The following is an 8,702-nucleotide window of genomic DNA, read 5'->3' as shown; positions in this document are numbered from 1 at the left end:
AATCTCGATTTAGTTGGAGACCATTATTCTAAGTAACTCAGCAATAAAAAACCAAGCATTGTATGTTCTCACTTATAAGTGGGAACTAAGCTATGAGAATGCGAAGGCATAAGAATTATGTAATGGACTCTGGGTACTCAGCAGAAAGGGCGGGAGAGAGGGGTGAGGGATAAAAGACTACATATTGGGTACAGTGCACACTGCTTGGGAGATGGGTGCACCTAAATCTTAGAAATGATTACAAAAGAACTTATCCATGTGACCAAACATCACCTGTACCTTAAAAACTTTGGAAGTAATAATAATTACAAACAAAAACAAAAAAACACAAAACCCCGTAAGTTTAACTTTCTATGTTTTGGCTGTTTTGTTTTGTTTTGTTTAGAAAAGGTCTCTGTCACCCAGAATAGAGTGAAGTGGCTCAATGAGGGCTCACTGCAGCCTCGACTTCTGGGCTCATGCAATTTTCCTCCCTCAGCCTCCTGAATAGCTGGTACTAAATGTGCAGGCTACCATGCTCAGTTAATTTTTAAATTTTTTTTAGACATGTGTTTTTGCCATGTTGCCCAGGCTGGTCTCAAATTCCTGGGCTTAAACAGTCTTCATTACTTGCTCCCCCAAAGTGCTGGGATTATAAGCATGAGCCAACATGCCTGACTATAATTTTTTTATTTTATTTTACTTTTTATTTTTTGAGACGGAGTCTCACTCTGTCAGCAGGCTGGAGTGCAGTGGTGCGATCTCGGCCCACTGCAACCTCTGCTTACTGGGTTCAAGTGATTCTCCTGCCTCAGCCTCCTGAGTAGCTCAGACTACAGGAGCACGCCACCATGCCTGTCTAATTTTTGTATTTTTTAGCAGAGACAGGGTTTCACCATATTTGCCAGGCTGGTCTTGAATTCCTGACCTCATGATCCACCCACCTCAGTCTCCCAAAGTGCTGGGATTACAGGCGTGAGCCACTGCACCCAGCCCAGAATCTTTAATATGTTATAAAAAAGCTAACTATATTTAGATTCGTTTACAGAAAATTAAAAAAAAAATCTTTTATTAAATGTTAGAAGCAAATTTTTGATGCCGCAAAGGAAATAGTACTTGAATGTAAATTTTCTCAGCAAGACAATATTTACTTTTATAGAAGGGTGCATCTTGCGAATGGAGCAATGGCAAGAGCACACCTGAACAAGGGAGGGAAAGGAGTTCTTAGCCCTGATGCAGGTAGCCCCTACTGCTGTGTCATTCCCCTATTGGCTAGGGTTGGACTGCACAGTCTAAGCTAATTCCCATTGGCTATTTTAAAGAGAGGAGGAGTACAAGCCAGAGTGGTGGGGTGAGCAGTTTGGGTGGGAACTACTGTTATGGAACAGGTGACCAAGGTGACTCAGGTCAGAGCAGGTGACCAGGGGTGACTCAGGATGGAGCAGGTGACCAGGGGTACAGATGTAAACTACTGATTAGAACTGGCGGGAAGGTTGTTTACTAAAACTGGAGACAAAAACAACAAAGAAGTTAAACTTTAAAATGGAGAATGAAGAACAGGGAGCTGAATATACTGACATACTGATTCTTTGAAGAGCAATTTAGAACTCACTGTATTTAACATTAAAATATATAAATGTTTTTTATCTACAAATATTAATATAAAACAGTTCAAAATTACTTCCTAGGGATTTCACTAAAAATTAGTTTGTTAAGGGTTAATGTAATTAATAAAAGACCACTAGATGTAAAAAAACTAATTCTTCAAAGAGAATGTTTAAGGCCAGGTGTTGTGGCTCACGCCTTGTAATCCCAACACTTTAGGAGGCCGAGATAGGCAGATCATTTTGAGCTTAGGAGATCGAGACCAGCCTGAGCAACATGGCAAATTCCAGTCACTACTTCAAATAAGGAAATAAACCGGGCATGATCGCGCACGCCTGTAATCCCAGCTACTCCAGAAGCTGAGGCTGGAGAATCGCTTGAATCTGGGAGGTGGAGGTTGCAGTGAGCTGAAATCATGCCACTGCACTTCAGCCTGGGTGACAGAACAAGCTTCTCTCTTGGAAATTAAAAGAAAATAGAGAGAGTATAAACAAAAGCAAAATATGCTTTTGATGAAGAAAGTTAGAAACATTTGTCTGCTTTGAAATTACTTAAAGGTTCCTTCAAATTGAAAAAGTAAAAATAATGTAGATTAAAATGAAATATAAAAAGTTAAACAATGGACCGGCATCATGGCTTACCCATGTAATCCCACTACTTTGGGAGGCTAAGGCAGGTGGATCACCTGAGGCCAGGAGTTCGAGACCAGCCTGGCCAACATGGTGAAACCGCATCTCTACTAAAAATACAAAAAATTAGTCAGGTGTGGTGGTGCACCTGTCATCCCAGCTACTCCAGAGGCTGAGGGAGGAGAATCCCTTGGACCTGAAAGGCAGAGGTTGCAGTGAGCCGAGATCGTGCCGCTGGACTTCAGCCTGGGCCACAGAGCAAGACTCAGTCTCAAAAAAAAAAAATTAAAAAATTATAAGAGATCATAAAATATGTATAAAAATCTAGAGAGGTCAAAAAAATTTTAATGTATTTTTATTTTTATTTTTTGCTGGGGTGCAGTGGCATGATCTCAACTCACTACAACCTCCGCCTCCCGGGTTCAGGCGATTCTCCTGCCTCAGCCTCCGGAGTAGCTGGGATTACAGACGTGTGCCACCATGCTCAGCTAATTTTTATATTTTATTTTTCATTTTTTTGAAATGGAATTTCACTCTTATTGTTCAGTCTGGAATGTATTGGCGCGATCTAGGCTTACTGCAACCTTGGCCTCCCGGGTTCTAGCAATTCTCCTGCCTCAGCCTCCCGAGTAGTTGGGATTACAGGCACGCACCACCATGCTCAATAATTTTGTATTTTTAGTAGAGATGGGGTTTCACCATGTTAGCCAGACTGGTCTCGGACTCCTGACCTCAGGAGATCCACCTGCCTCGGCCTCCCAAAGTGTTGGGATTACAGGTGTGAGCCACGGCGCCCGGCTGAGAGACTTACAATGTTTTATCAAATTAGCTTTATTATTGATAATACACAATAAAGTAAAAGTTGATTTTCTCTGGAACAAAAATTTTATGTATTATTAATATACATCAAATATTTTTGTTCACATTTTGAATACATTGAAAGAGAGCAAAGAAGAGAGAGGATTTTCCCATGCTCTGAGGTGGGCCTGGCTGAGCTGAGGAAGCCCTGCCTGAAAAGGCTGCAGCCTACGCTGTCACTCTTTCTTCATTCAGCCCAGTGTCTGATCACATCTTCTGTCACTCAGGGCCTGAGAAGGCGGGGCCTTAAACGTTATCTAATCAGGGACGCTGGGCTGGGAACTGTCCAATCAGGCACAAAGCTGGAGCGGACAGGGCGGCTTCCGGGATGTGGCTGGGCCTTTGTCTCTCGCTGCCGCCGGAGTTTCCAGGTCTCGACTTCACTGCTCTGTGTCCTCTGCTCCAGGAGGCCCAGCCTGTGTGGCCCTGTGACCTGCAGGTATTGGAGAGCCACAGCTAAGATGCCAGGAACCCCTGGAAGCCTAGAAATGGTGAGACTGCCAGGTGCGACGTCCCGAGAGAGGGAACGGGGCTCGTTGAAACCGGTGGGATGCGGCTGTGGCGAGCCTCAGGCCTTCCTTCAGTCAGCTCCACAATCCGTGCCCGGGTTCTCCTTGCCCAGCTCGGCCTCAGTCCCCTTCAGCGATAAGATGGCGGCTGCGTTGACAGGCGGGCTCCGGGCGTCCTGTCTCTTCCCTGCCCAGTGACTGTGTCCTGGCCTGGAGCCCTCTCTGGGCAGCTCTGCTCCCGCAGCGCCGCGTCTCTCCCAGATTGTGCAGGGATCACGGGAGGGTCGTCAGGGGAGAATCCTGACTGGAGGTGCTGGCTCATGAATAGGAAGCACTTTAGTCCGTGGGGTTCCCAGGGCCTCTTTTTTTCTATTAAAAATTTATGGGCGTCACCGCGAAAAGATTAAATAATTTAATCAAAGAGTGATTCAAACATTGTAGAGCACCCAGCTATGGTTTGTAATTTGTGGTCTATGAAAGGCCTTGAAGGAGATATTTTTATAAGGTTCATGGTAAAGAAAACCAAATTCAGTAATTTGCTAGGTACAGTTATGTAGGTTTTGTTTTGTTTTGTTTTTTGAAAAGGAGTTTTGCTCTCTCGCGCGGGCTGGAGTGCAGTGGCGTGATCTCGGCTCACCGCAACCTCTGCCTTCCGGGTTCAAGCGATTCTCCTGCCTCAGCCCTAGTAGCTGGGATTACAGGCGCCTGCCACCACACCAGGCCAATTTTTTTATTTTTCGGAGAGACGGGGTTTCACCTTGTTGGCCAGGCTGGTCTGGAACTCCTGACCTTAGGTGATCCACCCACCTTGGCCTCCGAAAGTGCTGGAATTACAGGCGTGAACCACCGCACCTGGCCTAGTTTCTTAATTTTTACAATCTAGGTGGAAATATCCTTCTTATGTAATCAGAGCTTAATTGGCAGTTTATAGTTGCTTAAGCCTAAATTTTGCTTCTGCCAATGTAGTAATTTACCAAAAAATGCTCTTGAGTTTAGATTTTTATTTTTAGAAGTAGAAATCCGAGGACTAGAGCCACCTCAATCTAATTGCCTGCCACTTAATTTTTCTCACACTCAAAAGGGGACGATTTTTCCCTGAATTTTTTACATGTGTCTCAAGCAGGGCCTCAAGTCCACCCCTCATCCCCTGTTCCTCCAGCCTAACTCTGGCTTGCAGTAAAATACTAAATTTCCAGTTTCGTCTGACATTCCCAAATGCCAATTTCCCCTCCCTAATTCACTTTATCAACTATTTGTCCTGTAGTGTACATTTTGATACCGATTTTAATCATTTTTATTTTTAATTTTTGAGACAGAGCCTTGCTCTGTCACCCAGGCTGGAGTGCAGTGACGCACTAGGCTCACTACAACCTCCGCCTACTGGGCTCAAATGATTCTCCTCTCTCAGTCTCCCAAGTAGCTGGACTTACAGGTGCCCACGACCACGTCTGGCTAATTTTTGTATTTTTAGTACAGACAGGGTTTCACTATGTTGGCCAGGCTGGTCTCGAACTCCTGGCCTCAGCTGGTCTGCCCACTTCGGCCTCCCAAAGAGCTGGGATTACAGACGTGAGCCACCGCATCTGGCCAATTAATTTTTTTTTTGACAAAGCATTTGATGGCACATTTAAAAAGATTTGTTTTTTTTGGTAAATACTCCCTGTGAGAAGAAAGCAAAGAATAATCTCCTGACACTGTATGGTAAAATATCTCTGTGCGTTTTTTTCGTCTATTTTCCCTAGACGCAGCTATCTTACCAGAATGTTTTTGGGTCAGGTTTTCCTTTTGGAAACTGTATAGGGTGATGTGTCTTCAGTCACCCTTCAGTTTTTTCTTGGACCTAGATTTCAGTACTGTATGGGGATAAACCAAGATACCCACCATGGCTATGTGTGCTAGAGTGTCTAGTGAATATCAGCTTCTGGGTCATATTCTCTCATAGGACAACCTGAGGTATTGAGTTTAGCTTCTCAAGTGTGGACGTGGATGCCCTGAGGCTGAGAGGCATTTCCTGGTGCACTTTTTTTTAAAGTTAATTCCTTGAGACATTAATATTGCCTTCACCCAATTCAGCTTTCATTTCTTGGAGACACATTGCTGGCCAGCCAATCAGATACTAGTATTGAGGAGAAAACAAATAATTTCTGCCTCCTGGATTCCTTTAGGGGGCAGAAAAATAGTGCAAGAAAAATAGTAAAAAAATTTCTAGAAAAAAAATACCCAGCACTCCAAAAGACAAAAAACAAAAAAAAACCCAAAAAACCAAAAAACTGACCCCAGTTAGATGGCGTAAGAACTTGCAGAGTATAATGTGCCTGAGGCACTCACTGGGGCATAGTTCAGAGTCTCCTGAGAGGGGGTTATTGAGCACTTAAGTGAGCAGGATGGGATGGGACAATCTCTCAAGTAATTGAATGGCCTGACTTGACACATGAGGAAGACATATCTGTATCTTGAAAAGCTTTGTTCACTTATTTTGACCTAAGGGTTTTTTTTTGTCTTATTTATGAGTCGAAATCTTGCTCTGTCGCCCAGGCTGGTATGCAATGGTGTGATCTCAGCTCACTGCAACCTCTGCCTCCTGGATTCAAACATTCAAGGAATTCTCCTGTCTCAGCTCCCCAGTAGCTGGGATTACAGACGTGCACCACCACTCCCAGCTAATTTTTGTATTTTTAGTAGAGATGGGGTTTCACCATGTGGCCCAGGATGCTCTCAAATTCCTGCCCTCATGATTTTTCCACCTTAGCTTCCCAAAGTGCTGGGATTACAGATGTGAGCTGTCGTGCCTGGTTCTATATCCTGGTATTTTGATTTTTGAGTTTAATGCTAAATTTTATGTGATGAAACTTGATACCTCCTAGAAGTGTTCCCATGTGACTATTTTTTTTTCTTTTTTTTTTTTTTTTTGAGATGGAGTTTCACTCTTGTCACCCAGGCTGGAGTGCAGTAGTGCAATCTCAACTCACTGCAACCTCTGCCTTTTGGGTTCAGGTGATTCTCCTGCCTCAGCCTCCCAAATAGCTGGGATTACAGGCGCTTGCCACAACGCCCGGCTAATTTGTGTATTTTTAGTAGAGGCGGGGTTTCACCATGTTGGCCAGGCTGGTCTCGAACTCCTGACCTCAGGTGATCCACCCACCTCAGCCTCCCAACGTGCTGGAATTACAGGCATGAGCCACTGTGCCCGGCAGACTAATTGTTTGCTACGTGATTTTTGATACAAATAATAACATAATATATTTATTGTCTGAAAGGAATAAATACTTTTGCTTTTCTTACTGAGGTATAAGATGTAAACACCTTAAACTTTTCTTCCCTTGTATGAACACTGTGTTTGCATAATTTTGCTGAATTATTCTACCACCTAGTTATAGTTTCAAAAGCCAAGTTAATAACTCTGACATAGAAATTAAAGCTTAAACCCAGTGACTCCAAGCTAAGCCTTTTGCAGGCTTGAGCCTGCAAAAGGAGGTTTTTAAAGACCCACTTAGTTCCTTCTGGGGAGCCTCCCCTGCAGATGTCCCAGCTTGCTCACCTCAGCTATGGAAGAAGCCCCTATACTGAGACAATCTACAGAGCCCTGGAAAGCTGGCAACCCACACGCAGATGCAGTTAAGATTAATATAAAAGGGTATTGGGAGGGTCTTACTGAAGATGAAGTTATTGTTTTGAGGCAGTTTCTAGACTTTTTAAAATAAAAGTTAGATGTATGTAAAAACTTGAATTTCAAAGGAGTATTGCAACAGGAGGAAGTAGTGACTATAAGATTTTTAAAGATTGCAAAGATGAGGCAGACAGTGGCTTTTTTTCCTAGGGAAAAGCAAACAAGATTAGTAAGGAGGTAGGAGGGGAATGTTTAAACAGAGGGTAATAAAATCAGATTTTGAGAATGTTTTACCCTGAAGTCAGCATGTTCTTAGGATAAACATAAAATGGGGTTGTATGGTGGCTCAGACTGAGGGTAGCTCAAAGTTCAGGAGCCTGTGGGAAGAAAATAAACTTAAGTTCAGTTAGATTAAGAAGTATTTTATGTTTACCACTGAAGACAAAGTCAGCTGATTTTTAATGAGGAAGAGGAGAAAATGCACAAAGCGTTTTTCTGGCTGTGTGATAGGTAAGAAAAGAGAGCAAAAAAATAGATACTGTCAAGGTTTCAGAGAAAAGGGAATACTTATACATTGCTGTTAACAGTGTACATTAATTCAACCATTGTAAAAAGCAGTGTGGCAATTTCTCACAGAACTAAAAACAATTACCATTTCACCAAGCAACCCCATCACTGGGTATATACCCAAAGAAATACAAATTATTCTCTCATAAAGACACATGCACAAGGGTGTTCACTGCAGCACTATTCACAATAGCAAAGACATGGAATCAACTTGAATGCCTATCAATGGTAGACTGAATAAAGAAAATATGGTATGATCAGGCACAATGGCTCATGCCTGTAATCCCAGCACTTTGAGAGGCCAAGGCAGGTGGATTGCCTGAGCTCAGGAGTTTGAGACCAGCCTGAGCAATATGGGAAAATCCCATCTATAAAAATGCATCTCTAAAAAAAAATACAATAAGAAAAATTAGGCATGGTGGCACACGCCTGTGGTCAGAGCTACTTGGACAGCTGAGGAACAAGAGTATTGCTTGGCCCACCACGATGGCTCATGCCTGTAATCCCAGAACTTTGGGAGGCCAAGGTGGGTGGATCCCTTGAGGTCAGGAGTTCAAGACCAGCCTGGCCAACATGGTGAAACCCCGTCTCTACTAAAAATACAAAAATTAGTCGGGCGTGGTGGTGGTGGGCATCATAATGAAAAGGGTTTTTCCGCCCCCCCACCATAAAGTGTTCTTGGAGAACACAAAAGATAGAGAATTTTATTAATCACAGCTGTTTATCATCTATGTGCTTCATCTTTTTCCACCTTTATTCTTGGTCTTATACATTTTTTTCACATGACTTTGTTGGGGTTGTACCTTTTTCTTTTCTGAGACGGAGTTTTACTCTAATTGCCCAGGCTGGAGTGTAATGGCACAATCTCGGCTCACCACAACCTCCGTCTCCCGGGTTCAAGCAATTCTCCTGCCTCCACCTCCCAAGTAGCTGAGATTACAGGCATGT

At 43.3% G+C, this 8,702-nt stretch overlaps 1 protein-coding gene across 9 annotated transcripts in view, besides 1 other annotated feature; it reads left to right on the top strand.

Annotated features, from left to right (window-relative positions):
• Positions 3,146 to 4,014: an enhancer, noted in NCBI's record as "H3K27ac hESC enhancer chr19:23577675-23578543 (GRCh37/hg19 assembly coordinates)". NCBI's record gives its function as "activates a minimal SCP1, AML or CMV promoter by ChIP-STARR-seq in naive H9 embryonic stem cells {active_cell/tissue: H9 hESC(naive)}" and the evidence as "EXISTENCE:reporter gene assay evidence [ECO:0000049][PMID:30033119]".
• ZNF91 (zinc finger protein 91) overlaps positions 3,416 to 8,702 on the top strand; it is a 90,468-nt gene continuing 85,181 nt past the window's right edge. For all 9 annotated transcript variants that reach the window (XR_007066982.1, XR_001753754.3, XR_007066980.1 and 6 more), the window contains exon 1: positions 3,416 to 3,562. Coding sequence is in view for 3 of the 9 variants with exons in the window: in XM_024451693.2 (XP_024307461.1) it covers positions 3,533 to 3,562 (30 nt within the window). In the remaining 6 variants the exon portion in view is untranslated. The remainder of the gene's footprint in view (positions 3,563 to 8,702) is intronic.

The sequence above is a fragment of the Homo sapiens genome, chromosome 19, assembly GCF_000001405.40.
Source record: "Homo sapiens chromosome 19, GRCh38.p14 Primary Assembly".
NCBI classification, from domain to species: domain Eukaryota; kingdom Metazoa; phylum Chordata; class Mammalia; order Primates; family Hominidae; genus Homo; species Homo sapiens.
The sequence above is the reverse complement of the archived record's forward strand: the minus strand, read 5'-3'. Positions and strand labels throughout refer to the sequence as shown.